Source organism: Homo sapiens, chromosome 18, assembly GCF_000001405.40.
Source record: "Homo sapiens chromosome 18, GRCh38.p14 Primary Assembly".
Classification (NCBI taxonomy): domain Eukaryota; kingdom Metazoa; phylum Chordata; class Mammalia; order Primates; family Hominidae; genus Homo; species Homo sapiens.
Window position 1 is genome coordinate 10,926,755 of NC_000018.10, and position 16,906 is coordinate 10,943,660.

At 41.3% G+C, this 16,906-nt stretch overlaps 1 protein-coding gene across 11 annotated transcripts in view, besides 2 other annotated features; it reads right to left on the bottom strand.

Moving 5' to 3' along the window:
• PIEZO2 (piezo type mechanosensitive ion channel component 2) overlaps window positions 1-16,906 on the bottom strand; it is a 479,323-nt gene that overhangs the window by 256,508 nt on the left and 205,909 nt on the right. The gene's annotated exons all lie outside the window — the stretch shown is intronic.
• Window positions 2,404-2,513: an enhancer, noted in NCBI's record as "active region_13086". NCBI's record gives its function as "activates an Ori minimal core promoter by ATAC-STARR-seq in GM12878 lymphoblastoid cells {active_cell/tissue: GM12878}" and the evidence as "EXISTENCE:reporter gene assay evidence [ECO:0000049][PMID:35858748]".
• Window positions 2,524-2,613: an enhancer, noted in NCBI's record as "active region_13087". NCBI's record gives its function as "activates an Ori minimal core promoter by ATAC-STARR-seq in GM12878 lymphoblastoid cells {active_cell/tissue: GM12878}" and the evidence as "EXISTENCE:reporter gene assay evidence [ECO:0000049][PMID:35858748]".

A 16,906-nucleotide genomic window follows, 5' to 3' on the forward strand; every position in this document is an offset into this window, starting at 1 on the left:
GCCACCACGACTCTGAGATGTTCTTGCTGGAGCAAGATTAAAGGCGTAATAGAAAGATTCTCAACAGCAAGGACTTAAAATGCTGTCACTGAGTAGGAAACACAATTAAACTGAACACCCTTTTGAATTAGTCCATTTCCTGAGGTTTTATCATATATGTCCAAGTAACTATGCAGTCTAACGGTGAAACAGACACTTCCTGCCGCACAAGCTCTTCCTATCTCCTTTTGTGAAAGAAAGAATACAAATGTCTTACTCATTACTTTGTTTCACTTAGTGGCCACAAGGACCAAGGAGGAGCCTTGCGTTTCTGACCTGGGTCACACGCGGGAGGAGGGGGCGAGCTGCACACTTCCTGGATTTCTTTGCTTCGCATCCTCTGTTCTCTCCGGAGACTGGCAGCCACTTTTCCATGTTATCTGATTCGTCTTTCAGATCTCTCAGAGGTCAGGGTTTTGCTTTTCTTTTTCCTATTTTATTTTATTATTATTATTTTTTAAAGGTGACCCCTTTGGAAGCTCAAGTTCTTGGCTCAGCAAAGCCTCCGAGGAGGACTCTGATTTACGCACAGAAATTTGAAATGGGTTAGATGGGATACTTAGCAGGATGCAGTTTCCAGGTCTGTTTAAAGGAGACAGGTTGCAGCGCAGGCCGTGGGTGGGGGACGCCTTGGCTCCCCCAGGCCATCGGAGAGGAGCTGATGTAACAGTTCTGTGACAGCCAAGCCTTTTCTTCAGATTCATGCTTTTTACTGATAAATATTGTGAACATTACATTTACACAAAAGAATGTCTGACTAATCTCTTGGCACAGCGCAGAATCCCTTAGTTTTAAATTTGAACCAGTTGAAAAGCAATCAATACACATTTAAAGAATGCAGCAAATATCAGACTTTTAAAAAGTCTATATATATATAGTGTTTTCAAATTTGAGGTATTTAATCGTACCTAAAATGAAAGGTAAAGCGTTCTTAGACAAACTACAGAATTTTCCTCTCTCTGTGGTTTTTCAGTAGTCCAGCTCAAAGCAAGCCAGACTAGTGCTGTCTACAACTCGTAAGCTTTTCTGGGGTTGATAACTATAGCAGGCTCGCTTTATTTTATTTTATACTCTATTTGCTTTAGGTCAAATTGGAGATATAAAAACTGCATTTTTAGGGGAATAAAATGTGTAGAAAGAGGGCAGGAGACCAAACCCAAAGAACTTAGACGTGGATTAATGTATTTAGACTAAGGAAGATTCAAAATTTCACAAGCATACCCTTCCTTAATAACAATACCATACACTGGTGTGGTGACGCCCCACTCATAGGGCAGCCTTGCAGCTGTGATCTCACAAGAAAGCAATACGTGAAGGCTCATACACGCCATTAGGAAAGAAAGAATGAAGTCTGGCTTTGAATAAGTATCAGTTTCCATATTACAGTAAGGGAAAGCGGGGGAGCTATGAGGGAAAACCTGAAGGCTTCAAATCAAAGGAAGCTCCATGGACTCTGATTCCAGAGTACACTGTCATCTAAGAAAACGTTTCATCAAGCCTGTCAAACAGACAGAAGTCTTACCAAAGTCAAAACAGAGGCATGGCCGCTCCAAGCAAAGAGGGGCTGTTGGATACTCACTGCTCTCATTTGCCAGCTTAGGACTCTCACTGACAGGCACGCTTGATTTGTTTTATTTTTGTGCTGTGATTTCCCTGTTCCACCAAGCACTCTGCACTTCCCTTTTGAGGGGAGGGAGCCAGAGTTTCATCCTTTTTTAAAGTCCAGTTCTTAAACAGTGCCTGGCACATAAATATTATAAATAAAATAAACACAAAAGTTTTGTTGTAAATGAATAAATGTTATAAATGTGGAACAAATGATTTAGCCATTCAGATCCCAGGCCTTCATGCCATCACATCCTGTTCCACAAGTACGCATTAAATTCAGATTTTTCTGGATCTAACATTATAATAGCCAAAAGTTCCCCCTATTTATTAGTGACCTAGAGAGATTTGTGGCCATCTTCCTTGGAGCATCCATTTCTCCCCTATTTTACCGGCCAAGACATCTCTTCCCAGGCAGTAATTCAAAGAAGAGGAACATTTGGAACTAGCCTATAAAGCATTTGGGATGAAAGGTGCAGAGTAATGCACGTCTACTCACGGTGTCCAAAGTCAAACATTCCCCTGTCCTACTTGTGCAAAACTTTTACAACACTTCACCTTCATCCCTGTTTAATGGTTTAATTCAAATGCATTAACAGGAGAGAGAAAAAAAGATTTTTTGGTTTGTCTCACTGCTGACTCAAAATGATTTACGGTACTTTGCTGAGGTTTTGGCTGACTGTGGTCTCCCAGCTGCTGTTGTAAAGGTATCCATGCATCAGTCTTTATGTAAACACTCACAGCATTAACCACAGCTGCAATATGAATTAGAGCCATAGAAAACACTCTTGTTTATGTGATGAGCTGGAGCACCTCAACTCACTGCCCTTCTGAAATGGAGAACTCAAGAAAAGAAATTAAAAGTGTGAGCGAGCTGCAAACGTGCACGCATCATATGAAGGTGTTATGCTGCTGCATGCATGGGTACCCCACATATGCTGTTGTGACTGAGGCAATTCATAATGCTATGAATTCCAGACCAGCGCAAAGAAACTCCGAATTATTTTGATCAGATTCAGACATGTTTTCCCATATCTTTAAGTAAGATTGGAATGTTTGAACAAAATGCTTTTGCCAGTTGCTTGCTGTAAACAAAAATTTTGCATTTCAAAAGTTGCATGTTGAGACCATTTCAAAAAAGGAGTAGAAAATCACATCCACAGCCTTTGAGGGGCTGAGAAGTTATTGGCAAGACTGTGAGAGGAAAATGCCTCTACCAACCTCTCGGGTCTCAGGACAGATCCCGCTATCCTCTCCCATAACTTAGTCTTTTACAGTGTTTAATGGAGTTTGATACAATAGAGCAGATGGACGGAATGTTAGAATGTGTATGCTTGACCTGAGGGAGATCTTGGGTTTATAAAAGTAGGAGTGGTGGGAGATATGTTATTATTTCCTGATCCTCCTTTATGGTGCTGTAAACAAAAATAAAATTCTAAGGCCCCCAAGAGACTGAATGGACTGCCCCTCAGCCCAGGAGGCCCAAAGAAGCCTAAAAAACCAGTTCAGACAATGACAGGAAGGTGGGGTCCAACATGCCTCATTATACCCTCTTTCCTTTGGAGTTGAGGCACCACGGACCAGCATTAACATTAAAACAGAGATCCTAAGACTGACAGAACAAACTTTTTGTGGCAATAAGATACCAAATTCCAGCCTGACTGGTATAGCATCACATGACAGCAGGCCTTGAGGTACATCTAAGTATTTTACCTTGAAATATATTTCTTTCACATATCTTGAAATGGCCCTGCAAAGCTGTCTCTTGTGGGGGAAATTTACATTCTTTAGAAAATCTCCTTTCCTTACTAGGTCGCTTTGGAGAGTCTGACACCCTTTAAGATCCCATAAAAGACATTAGCATCTATTGTCTCTGAAGCAAGCTACCTGGAGACTTCATCTGGATGACAAGAACTTGGCTTCCACAACTCCCACCCTCTTACCTTAACTAAAGCTGATTTCAACTCTTCAGGCAGAGCTTAACCCTTTCAACCAATTGCCAATCAGGAAATCTTTAAATCCACCTATGACTTAGACGTTCCCCCTTTCTGGGCTGTCCAATGTACTCCTTATATGTATTAATTTATGTCTTTGCCTGTAACTTCTGTCCCCTAAAATGTATAAAATCAAGCTGTAACCTAACCAGTTTGGGCACATGTTCTCAGGACCTCCTGAGGCTGTGTCATAGGTCATGATCCTTAGCCTTGGCAAAAACAAACCTCTAAATTGATTGAGACCTATTTCAGATACTTTTTGGTTTACAACACCATGGATAAAACCTACATGATCTGGTCACATTTACTTAATGAGTTTCTCTCTATCCTTTGAAGAGAGTAAAATAACTAAAACATCTTGTCAAAAACAAAGACATAGGCAGTTATTAAAGATAAATTTTTTTGAAATTCTGTCTTAAAGTCAAATGTGTCTTAAATTTAGAGAAAGAGGTCTTTGATGTCTCTGTAGGTAACCGATGTCTCTATAGGTAACCTCCTATTGTTTGTCTAAAAGCACCATGGTATGACATACAGAGGCTGTCCTTGGTTTTTCTAAGCCTTTTTACTTTAAAATAAATAAAGAATAGCTTATTTTAAATGGTAGAATTTTATATTTGCTATTCTAGACTGCAATTATAAAATTAAGAACTCTGACATGTAACTGTATTAGGTGCAAGTCACTCATGATTTGGTAGGGTCTGAGGTGTAGATCTCAACTGAATAATTCTTCCTACTCTCTCTCTTCTCTATTTATCTGTCATCCAGCTATCTAAATATATATCTACTTATAATTTTATTGTATTTATTTATTTATTTATTCTGAGACGGAGTCTCGCTCTGTTTGTCGCCCAGGCTGGAGTGCAGTGGCGCCATCTCTGCCCACTGTAAGCTCCGCCTCCTGGGTTCACACCATTCTCCTGCCTCAGCCTCCCAAGTAGCTGGGACTACAGGCGCCTGCCACCACGCCCAGCTAATTTTTTGTATTTTTAGTAGAGACAGGGTTTCATCATGTTAGCCAGGGTGGTCTCGATCTCCTGACCTCGTGATCCGCCTGCCTTGGCCTCCCAAAGTGCTGGGATTACAGGCGTGAGCCACCATGCCTGGCCTATCTACTTATAATTTTAATAGACTCTAGAACTTAATACTTTCAAAGGATTTTTCCTTATTACACAAGTAATGTATATTCACTTAATCATGAGTAATCCCACCATACAGAAATTAACCACTGTTAACAAGTTGTTACATATCCTTCAGGACTTCTTTCTGTTCTCTCTCCCTCTCATTCTCTCACTCTTTCTCTGTGTGGTGTGTGTGTGTGTGTGAGAGAGAGAGAGAGAGAGAGAGAGAGAGGGAAAGCTCACAGACTGCAATGTAACAGACTTAATTTCTTGTAATAAAATTATTTCAGGGCAACCCATATTCCTAAAAAATACATGTGTAATGGCCACCAACCATTTCAATGCATGAATGTACCTTAATTTATTTAGCTAGTTCCTCTGGGTTGGGCACAGTATGTTTCTGTCTTTTTTGGTTGTTTCAATAATGAATGACGCTGTGAATACAGCTGTCCCTTTACACATCCTTAGATACGGATATATCTTTAGATCAAGACATAGTGAAAGAATGGCCTTGCTTATGACTTTTCAAACTTATAACTAAAAATGTCTTCTGAAAATTGTATTAGGTTCTAAGTTGAACCTAAGTTGGTGGTATTTGAGTATTTTTGCCTACAAAACAACAATATCATATGACTAAACATACTATATAAGCACAACACTTTTTTGAGAGACTTAATAACTTCACATCCAGCCTGGGCAACATGACAAAACCCCACCTTTACAAAAAATACAAAAATTAGCAGGGTATGGTGGCACATGCCTGTGGTCCCAGCTACTGGGGAGGCTGAGGTGGGAGGATCAATTGAGCCTGGGAAGTCGAGCCAGCAGTGAGCCATGACTGCACCACTGCACTCCAGCCTGGGTGACAGAGGAAGACTGTCTCAAAAACAAAACAAAACAAAAAACCCACATCATCACATAGCCATGAATTCTCCACCTGCTTGGAAAATATGTATCGAGTAGCTCCCATAATCTAAGCAGCATATCAGTCACTGTGTTTCCGGGGATGAGCAAACCACCCATGGTCCTAGCCTTCTGCAGTTACATCCAGAGCAGAAGAGACACAATAATGACAGGCAGTGACATGATTGAAAATTACAGTAAGTTTTAGGAAGGAAAAGAAAAGGAAAAGCCAGGCGTGGTGGCTCAAGCCTGTAATCCCAGCACTTTGGGAGGCAGAGGCAGGAAAATCACTTGAGCCCAGGAGTTCAAGACCAGCTTGGGCAACATAGGGAGACCCATCTTTACAAAATAATTTTTAAAATTAGCCAGGTGTGATGGTGCAAGCCTGTCATCCCAGCCACTCTGGAGGCTGAGGCAGGAGAATCACTTGAGCCTAGGAGATCGAGGCTGCAGTGAGCTAAGATTGTACCACTGCATTCCAGCCTGGGCAACAGAGCCAGACCCCTTCTCTAAAAAAGGTAAAAAAAAAAAATATGAAAAGGAAAGGAGAGAACACTCTAAGTTGCAAAGGGACTTAGGGAAGGGGCATTTAGGCACAACAGAGTGGAGGAAAGACATTCTAGGCTGAGCAAACAGGAGGGTGAGGACCCTGGAGGCAAAGAACCCTATTAGCCCATATAAGAACTCCTTGGAAGAAAGGGAAGAATGGCCAAAAAACTGTAACCAGGGACAAGGCTACAAGGTTGGAGATTACAGTGGGCAATTAACTTTTCACATATTTACCAATTTAATCGGTTAAAAAAAAAAGATACCTAGCTTTTTCCTTAACTTACATTGTTTTATCCTAATGACAATTGAACTGAACGTTTACATTACATTGGCCACTTAAAATTCCTTTTAATTTCCTATTTTTGTCTTTCTCCATTTCTTCATTGGAGTAATTTTCTTCTTCATTTCTAAGATTACATATTAGAAATATTAATATTTTTTCATTTATTTTGCAATATGTTTCTTAACCTGTTACTTGTTATTTGCCTTTTAACAGAGAGTTAATTATGTGTCCCTTAAGTAGTTACTGTGGTGCATGCTACACAGAGTCCCGCTACCGTGGGAATACACTATGTCCGATATCCCATTTTCCATTGATTTGGGATGATGGAATTGTACCTCCTCTATATCCATCCAGACACTTGCTGGAGGAATTTAAGAACCCTGCACACTATCACTGTGTGCCAGGCAGACGTGTCATGGAAAGAATCCTTTCATGGGTTGGAATGAAGGGGCGGTGACATGATTTGGCTATGTCCCCACCCAAATCTCACCTTGAATTGTAATAATCCCCACATGTCAAGGTCAGGGCCAGGTGGAGATAATTGAGTCATGCAGGTGGATTCTCCCAAACTGTTCTCATGGTAGTGAATAAGTCTCAAGAGATCTGATGGTTTTACAAAGGGGAGTTCCCCTGCACAAGCTCCCTCTTGCCTGCTGCCATGTAAGACGTGTCTTGCTTCCCCTTTGCTTTTTGCCATGATTGTGAGGCATCCCCAGCCATGTGAAACTGTGAGTTAATTAACCTCTGTCTGTTATAAATTACCAAGTCCAGGGTAAGTCTTTATTTGCAGCATGAGAACAGACTAATACAGGTGGTAACTCAGGTGAACAGATGGCATGATGCCGCTATTTTTCAATACTGGAAACAATTTCAGTCTATCAAAATATTTCTGACTTTGTTAGCTTTCATGTGCCACCAATGAGATTCCATTAAAGTGCTTTCATACAAAAAAGGGAGTGTTAATTGAAAACTTGTCATGTTCTAAAAACTATGGAGGTAGTGACTACTGTAATTTTCCCAGTACATGGGTGACGAAGGGCAGGCATTGTGAGGCTTCCACATCCAGGAGTGAGGTTAAGTCCCTCCCTGCAAGTCATCACCAGGCGCAGAAGCAGGTCCATGACTGTGTTCAGGCCCTGCAGCTTCAGGTGCACATTCATACTCCTGCGGCTCTCATGGCGAGCAAAATTCAGTGGAAAAGTATGAAAGGGGCTTTTACAATACCACTCCCCCGCAAGTCAGGTAGAAAACCCATTTTCATTCCTATTTTTAAATTTCAGAGAGCATTTGTTGATATGCTAAGGAATTTCGACTGATCTCAGTCAGTAACTTGAGTTGTGTGAAAAGAATTAGAAAAGAGGAGGGTTAGGAATTGTCAGTATTGTGTGTACGTGTGTGTGTGTGTGTGTGTGTGTGTGTGTGTGTGTGTGTGTGTGTTGGGCTCCTTGGGCAGAGCCAAGAGCACCTAACCTAAGCCTAAACACCTGGAATAATGGGCTTAACTTAATGCCTTGTTCTTCACTCCTCTTGAGACCTGACCCAGCAGGATAATTTCACCTTTGTTAAATTGTAACTTACCATGCGGCAGATACTATTCTAAGGGTTTACAAATAGTAACTCATTTTATTTAATCCTCATGTCTACTACATAAGACAAGGACTATTACTATATCCACCTTACAGACGTGGCAACCGAGGCCACAGAGAGGTTAACTGACTCGCCCAGGATCACACAATCATGAAGCAGAAAAGCCAGGATTCTCACACAGGCCACCTGGCTGTGATGTCTGTGCTCTAACCACTATGCTACAGGGTTGCTTCTCTGATCAGACTGTTTCTGTTTTCGTCCTTACCTAATTCCATTAAACTATATAGATAGCTGTTACCATTTTTTTAAATGTCATGTTTTGTATGTGAGGAGAATATCATGGTAGAATTCCTGGTTTTCTTCTTGGGGAAAGTATGCTGTGGGAGACCTGCAGAAAATGTTCTCCGCGATGCCACACATGATTATGAATAGAAAGATTTGCTTGCCTGGAAGAAGCCTGAATTGTTTCACAGTAATGAACAAAGAGGAAGGTAACTGCTCTCAGATTGTAACTGCCCAGAAGAGCAGTTAGGCAGCTGAGAGCTACTCAGGGGGCAGAATTAGGAGTTGGGGATGAAAATAACAACGGAGGTAGATTTTGTTCCCTTTAAAGAAGAGCTGCCTAGCAAACAGAATTGGATGACAACTCTCCATTGTTTGAGAAAAGACTCTGTTCCTGGTACTGTAGATAAAATTCAGTGCAGAGGTGAAAGGAATGGGGCACATTGCTCTTTCAAGTCTTGAGAACCTAAGATTTTATGAAAAAGATATTTTAGTGTGCATAAAAGAAACTGGCTGGATTAGAACCATGAACAAATCTTGGCTTCTAGCAAGGCAAACTTTGTTCACCAAGAGCAACTGGGGCCGCTGCTGAAGTGCCAGAACTCTTAATTCTGCTGCCAGTGGGCCGAGCATGCCACATTGTTCACTCCACCTTCTCTCATCTGCAGCATGACCACGGCCCCTGCTCCTGCCTCGCCAGCAGCAACGCTCCGGCAGTGGCTGGACCAACAGTCACCTTCCTCACGTGCAGCTTTCTTGAACCCACATTTACTTGGAAGGACATTCCAAAACTTTCAGTACTGTCATTTTTCTTATGACTTTTGAAGAAAGATGTGATAGTGGGCCATAATGGGAAGTAATTTATTAAAAATGGCAGCCTCAAAACTCTCTTTTCTACACAGGGTCACAGGTTGGTATCTTTGGAGATGTCTTGGGAGGTCTTTGTATAGGAACCAAAATTCCAATTACTTTTCAAAGCAAGAGAAGCAATGGTTTGTGGAGATCACTATTAGGGCTGTGAGCTTGCATCTGCCTTCCCAGCAGTTTCTAGAACTAAATGTGATGCTTTCTTTCGCAAAGCATGAATGCCTCTCCTTGGGGCCTTGCCTTACTTTCTAGTCAGCATAGTTTTAGCATCTGAGTTCTGAAATTGCAATGTCGCAATTTCTCTTTTTATAAAAAGTAATGCAAACTTTACAGCTCATAAACCTTCATGGGATTTATAAAGGTGGAGCTTGTCTTGGAATGTCTCCTGGAGTCTGGCCTCATTGAGGTTGCCTTTTAACATACTCCTCCGAAAATTTTTTTTAAAAAGAACAAAAAAAAGTCTTAGGAAACCAAAGAATGGAGGCTTTGCAACAACCAGCCTGTGGCAAGTCCTTGGTCCAGGGCTACCGATGCGAAAATGTTGCCTACCACTGTCCCTTTATTTTTGCTGATGTGCTAGTTGGCTAATTCTTCTGGATGGGGGGATGTTAAGGGCCTGGCAGATAAGTTGTAAGAGTTCTGCCAAAACTAAAAGGCCTGGGGCTAGAATTCCAGTGCTTGAATGTAGGAAGGAAACAGTCAGATGTCATCGCTTCAGGACAGGCAATCAAAAACATAGCCCAGTGGAATATATCTTTGCTAGAGATAAGAAAAACAAAATATTGAAAGCTCAATTTTGCTGGGTTCTGTTTTGAAGACAAAACTGTGGGACTGTGCAGACAAACCAACAAGTGCTCCTTCCAGTGTGCAGCTCGTCTGGCAGGAATCCTGCAGTGAAACCAGGCTCAGGGCATTGTGCTAGAGCCCTTTAGCTACTGACTCCCTCCTTGTGAATCCCCCCATGACTTCTTCCCTTACGGTCCTGGAGATCTGGGAAGTTTTTAAGCTTGTTTAGAATTTTTATTTTAAGTCTACTCTGGTTCTTCCACAATGACGACTCCTACAACAGACTATCCAGCTTACTGTCATCAAGAGAAATGAATATTTAGTTTATGAAGAGTAAACTATTTACTAGAAAATTACGTGTAATGACCAGGAGATGGCAAAAAATTAAACATAGCTCCTTGAAATAGTTCAGTGGAGCCATTAATGCTAGGAACTACTATGTGAATGAATGAAGAGTGACCTCCCTTGGGTTAGTACTTTACAGATTTCAGGGTTCTTTCCTAGCAAACACAAGGAGGTTTCATGAAATCTTCTTGGTTTTGAGGTTGGCCTCTTAACTGGGGCATCCTAAACCCTTTGGAGATATGTTCTTTGGAGCAGCTTGTGCATGTGACATCTCACATGTCCCAGGCCCACAATACTGGTGGTGAGTTTCATACAGGGAGGATGAGGTCCATGTTCATCCTGTGGCTGGGATTTGACAGATTATTGGGAAGTCTCACAGATTTGCCTAAATATCTATATGTTATTTCCCCTCCGTACAGAGCTAGTTCATTATGTCTTTGTGCTCCATGTAACAGGTGAAAGCTCCATGTAACAGGTGAAAGCAATGAAAAAACAGACCCTATATTAAAACATCAAGCTGGATTCCCACAAAATTGGATTTTTTCTTCATTCCTCTCATTCCCCTAATGCTTTGTCTCCCAAATTTTGGGAATTTTCTTCCAAGCGCCTAATCCTCCAGTGCCACTTCTGGTCTCTCCTAAGCAATCCAGGATGTCCTAGGAGTCCTTTTCACAGCTTCTTCCCTGACATTTTGCTGAGTTATGCTCTATGTTCTCATAGCCTTTGCCTGGACTTTTGGTTATCTAGGAAAATGATAAATTAAGTCACGTTAAAGTGTTCCTTTAAAAAACTGCTATAATTCAACCAGTTCTGACACAAATGGTGGGTTTCAGAGAACGGAGTAGAGATGAGAGAAGTGGCTTTTAGCAAGAAATTACGCAGGTGACTTTCAAATAAATCATCTACATAGAAGGCACGTTTTGCCTCTAATGTGCAAATAATTTAGCATCTGAAATGGCATGTAAAGATCTCATTTTAGATTCAATTCCACTCTAATTCATCAAAATGGGAAGTAAGGCATTGTGGCATAACAATTGGGATCAGAAGACCTGTGGTTACATCTCAGTTCAGCCCACAGAACTAACCGGGACTGAGGCCATTGGTCTTAGACCTCTCATCTGTGGGATGGGGTTACTAAGACTGATTTCCTATGTTTCTTTGCAAAACTTGAAATAATTGTGTGAAGAGTACTTTGCAAAGAGATAAGTGCTACAGAACTATAAAGTACTAAATAAAAGCTAATATATTAGGCATCTAATAGGTATTAATAGCAGCAAGGTCTGACCACAAGCAAACACCTATTTTAGGCACTGACTTCTGCCAAAAATCCGGAGCTAGATGGAGGAAGGAAAGGCTCATAAATCAGTCTCCTTAAGAGGCCTCCTTGGGAAGTCAACAAAGATTTAGTATTTTTAGCTTGTAGTTTTAATTAGATTTGAGCAATTCCAGAAAAATACTGAAAATTAATTATTTAGGCTTTACCTGTCATGAATAAAATATATTGTTCTAATAGATGATTATAAACATACTGAAAGATTCTTCATGACCAGAAAAAAAGGAGAATATTCAATAGATATTTATAAATTAATTTATGTTGAACAATGAAGATGACTTTTCAAAAAGCACATTTCTTTAACATGAAAGAGATAACTAGGTAACAATTATTCACACTTTAAAAGTAAGTTTACATTAGGCCGGGCACAGTGGCTCATGCCTGTAATCCCAGCACTTTGGGAGGCTGAGGCAGGCAGATCACAAGTTCAGGAGATCGAGACCATCCTGGCTAACACAGTGAAACCTTGTCTCTGCTAAAAATACAAAAAAATTAGCCAGGTGTGGTGGCAGGCACCTGTAGTCCCAGCTACTCGGGAGGCTGAGGCAGGAGAATCACTTGAACCCAGAGTGGCAGAAGTTACAGTGAGCCGAAATCATGTCACTGACTCTGTCTCAAAAACAAAAAACAAAACAAAAAAAAAATGTAAGTTTACATTCTTAACATGCTTTCAAGAAACAATTCTTTAAAAAGTGGGAGTTTTCATAAATCTTATATTTTGGGTTGTACCAAAATTTTAATTCTGAGCCATTGTTTAGCTCATGGATATATGCCAATAGAATAGCTGGAACTGACAATGAGGATGCAAAAAAGTTATATTATCTACCACAAAAGTGGTACCTGTCTAATAAAAAATGTATATTTGTGAGAGGCCTGTAGTTTGCTAGTTCAACCATTGTGGAAGACAGTGTGGCAATTCCTCAAGGATCTAGAACCAGAAATACCATTTGACCCAGCAATCCCATTACTGGGTATATACCCAAAGGATTACAAATCATTCTACTATAAAGACACATGCATACCTGTGTGTATTGCAACACTATTTACAATAGCAAAGACTTGGAACCAACCCAAATACCCATCAATGATAGACTGGATAAAGAAAATGTGGCATATATACACCATGGTATACTATGCAGCCATAAAAAAGAATGAGTTCATGTCCTTTGCAGGGACATGGATGAAGCTGGAAGACATCATCCTCAGCAAACTAACACAGGAACAGAAAACCAAACGCCGCATGTTCTCACTCATAAGTGGGAGTTGAACAACGAGAACACATGGACACAGGGAGGGGAACAGCACACACTGTGGCCTGTCAGGGGTTAGGAGGCAAGGGGAGGGATAGCATTAGGACAAATACCTAATGCATGGGGAGCTTAAAACCTAGATGATGAGTTGATAGGCGCAGCAAACCACCACGGCATATGTATACTTATGTAACAAACCTGCACATTCTGCACATGTATCCCGTGACTTAAAGTAAAATAAAATTAAAAAAAAAATACCTCGGCAGAGGCAGTGTGACATATGACTGTGTTAGTTCATTATTATGTATACTCTAGGGACATATATATGACTATGTTAGTTCCTTATTATCTATACTCTGGGGACAGTGAGTTTCCCCTCATCAGAAACAAACTCCAGGGAGTGGTTCGCCAGCCTTTCCTACAAAAAAACACACTTCAGAGGAGGCTTTGGCCATCTTTGATTAGCACACGAATTTGTTATTTATTAAAATAAATGTTAAAGTGAGTGTTCATTGGTGATTGCTGATATTCAAGATGCGTGAATTAGTGAGTACCTCATAAAGCCCTGGCATGAATTGGTAATAAAAATCTAGTGAGCTCTTCCTCTTCACCCTAACAGATTAGCACCTTTTAGTTAAGTACAGTGATTCTGTAAAAGTACTGGGTCTAGATACTGATTTCACAGGATCAGTGCTACATGGATGCCAACAACATAAGCGAATCTTACCTGCAGAATATCCTAGTGTTTTCCTCCAGTGAACATTTTACATAAGGTATCCTTGTAGTTCTTTCTAGAACTAGGATCAGGACTTTATGAAGAATATAGGACAGGACACATTACTGCTTTTGTGCCTGCTGATAATGTTCACATGTCTAAAAGAATTCAGGCCGGGCACTGCTGCTCATGCCTGTAATCCCAACACTTCGAGAGGCCCAGGCGGGCGGCTCACAAGGCCAAGTGATTGAGACCATCCTAGCCAACATGGTGAAACCCTATCTCTACTAAAAAGACAAAAATTAGCTGGGCATGGTGGCTCGCGCCTGTAGTCCCAGCTACTGGGGAGGCTGAGGCAGAAGAATCGCTTGAACCCGGGAGGCAGAGGTTGCAGTGAGCTGAGATCATGCCATTGCACTCCAGCCTGGCTACAGAGCAAGGCTCCATCTCAAAAAAAAAAAAGAATTCAGTCTGAGATATATTTTCATGGTTACCCATTACTATAGCAAGGTTATAGAGAAAATATATATGGCTCTGCATTTCTTCTAAATAACAAGGATTTTTGGTATTTACTAAAAATAACAATTGTACACGACCAAACTTGCCTGGGTTTACTTACAGCATTACAACATTGATTTGAAAATATCAATTGTCTCAAAATTTAAACATCTTAAACATAAGGGACTTCCATTTTTGTCAGTATGGCCAACTAGACACCCTAAACAATTATCCCAACTAAAAAATGAAAAAAAATGTTGGGGTCAACATTTTTTAGACATTTAAATGCATCAGTGACTGAAAGTGGGAATCCTTAGAGAGAGTAAGGAATCCTTAGAGGACAAAAACTAAGTTAATAGCAGGCTCGCACTCTAGAATTGTCTTCCCTTTCCCTTGTAATATTAGATAATAATACAGAACACTCTGAGATGATTATCAATCCCCGCTTACACCCCAAGTAGACAGTACAAATGAAGACATCTGAATAATGAAGTTGGGACCCTAAAGGGTTGCTTGTTTAGTATAAATTTTAATTGGAAATGAACCCCACACAAATTCACACATCCTAAATGATCTGAAAATATTCTGAGAATTCATTTTAAAGTGCTACCAGGTTGGTAGAGTCCCTCAATTGCCTAGTAGAAGCAAACACATTCTTTTAAAAAGGAATACGTTTTCATTCTAAGCCTCTAAGTATTTCTCTAGGACAAATGTTCCAGGAATAAGAGATGAAAGTAACAGTAGGAAAACATTCAAGAACCCAAAGAAACATAATTGGAAACCAAAAGTAACAACTGAGAGTTATTGGGATTACTAGACTCAGAATATAAAATAAATTGATTTAATGTATTTAAATAAACAAAAATGAAGGTTGAAATGTAAATAGGAAGCAAAAGACCAAAATGACTGATACCGTTTGGCTCTGTGTTCCCACCCAAATCTCATCTTGTAGCTCCCATAATTCCCACATGTTGTGGGAGGGACCCAGTGGGAGATGACTGAATCATGGGGGGTGGGTCTTTCCAGTGCTGTTCTCATGATAGTGAAGGGGTCTCACGAGATCTGATGGTTTTAAAGATGGGAGTTTCTCTGTACAAGTCTCTCTTCGCCTGCTGCCATCCACGTAAGATGTGACTTGCTCCTCCTTGCTTTCGGCCACGATCGTGAGGCCTCTCCAGCCATGTGGAACTGTAAGTCCAATAAACCTCTTTCTTTTGTAAAATGCCTAGTCTCTGGAATGTCTTTCTCAGCAGCATGAAAATGAACTAATTCAGTAAATTGGTACCAGTAGGGTGGGGCGCTGCTGAAAAGATATCCCAAAATGTGAAAGCGATTTTGGAACTGGGTAACATGCAGAGGTTGGAACAGCTTAGAGGGCTCAGAAGAAGACAGGAATATGTGGGAAAGCTTGGAACTCCCTAGAGACTTGTTGAATGGCTTTAACCAAAATGCTGATAATGATATGAGCAATGAAATCCAGGCTGAGGTGGTCTCAGATGTAGATGAGGAACTTGTTGGGAAATGGAGCAAACACAACTCTTGTTATGTTTTAGCAAAGCGACTGGCAGCATTCTGCCCCTGCCCTAGAGATTTGTGGAACTTTGAACTTGAGAGAGATGATTTAGGGTATCTGGCGGAAGAAATTTCTAAGCAACAAAGTATTCAAGAGGGTCCTGTAAAAGGCATTCAGTTTTAGAAGAGAAGCAGAGCACAAAAGTTCGGAAAATTTGCAGCCTGACAATGCAATAAAAAAGAAAATCCCATTTTCTGTGGAGAAAATCAAGCCACCTGCAGAAATTTGCATAAGTAATGAAGAGCCAAATATTAATCCCCAAGACAATGGGAAAAATGTCTCCAGGGCATGTCAGAGTTCTTCATGGCAGCCCCTCCCATCACAAGCCTGAAGGCCTAGGTAAAACAAGTGATTTAGTAGGCCAGGCTCAGGGTCCCCGTGCTGTGTGCAGCCTAGGGAATTGGTGCCCTGCGTCCCAGTCACTCCAGCCATGGCTGAAAGGGGCCAACACAGAGCTTGGGCTATGGCATCAGAGGGTGCAAGCTCCAAGCCTTGGCAACTTCCACATGGTGTTGAGTAGTCTGCGAGTGCACAAAAGTAAAGAACTGGGGTTTGGGAACCTCCACCTAGATTTCAGAAGATACATGGAAACCCCTGGATAACCAGGCAGAAGTTTGCTGTAGAGGCAGGGTCCTCATGGAGAACCTCTGCTAGGGCAGTGAGGAAGGGAAATGTGGAGTCAGAGCCATGACGCACAGTCCCTACTGGGGCACCACCTAGTGGAGCTGTGAGAAGAGGGCCACTGCCATCCTGTAGACCCCAGAATGGTAGATCCACCAACAGCTTGCACCATGTGCCTGGAAAAGCCGCAGACACTCAACTCCAACCAGTGAAAGCAGCCAAGAGGGAGGCTGTACCCTGCAAAGCCCCAGGGGTGGAGTTACCCAAGGCCGTGGGAGACCACCTCTTGCATCAGTGTGACCTGGATGTGAGACATCGAGTCACAGGAGACCATTTCGGAGCTTTAAGATTTGACTGCCCTGCTGGATTTCAGACTTGCATGGGGCCTGTAGCACCTTAGTTTTGGCCAATTTCTGCCATTTGGAATGGCTTTATTTGCCCAATGCCTTTACCCCCATTGTATACAGGAAGTAACTAACTTGCTTTTGATTTTACAGGCTCATAAGCAGGAAGGAACTTGCCTTGTCTTGGATAATACTTTGCACTGTGGACTTTTGA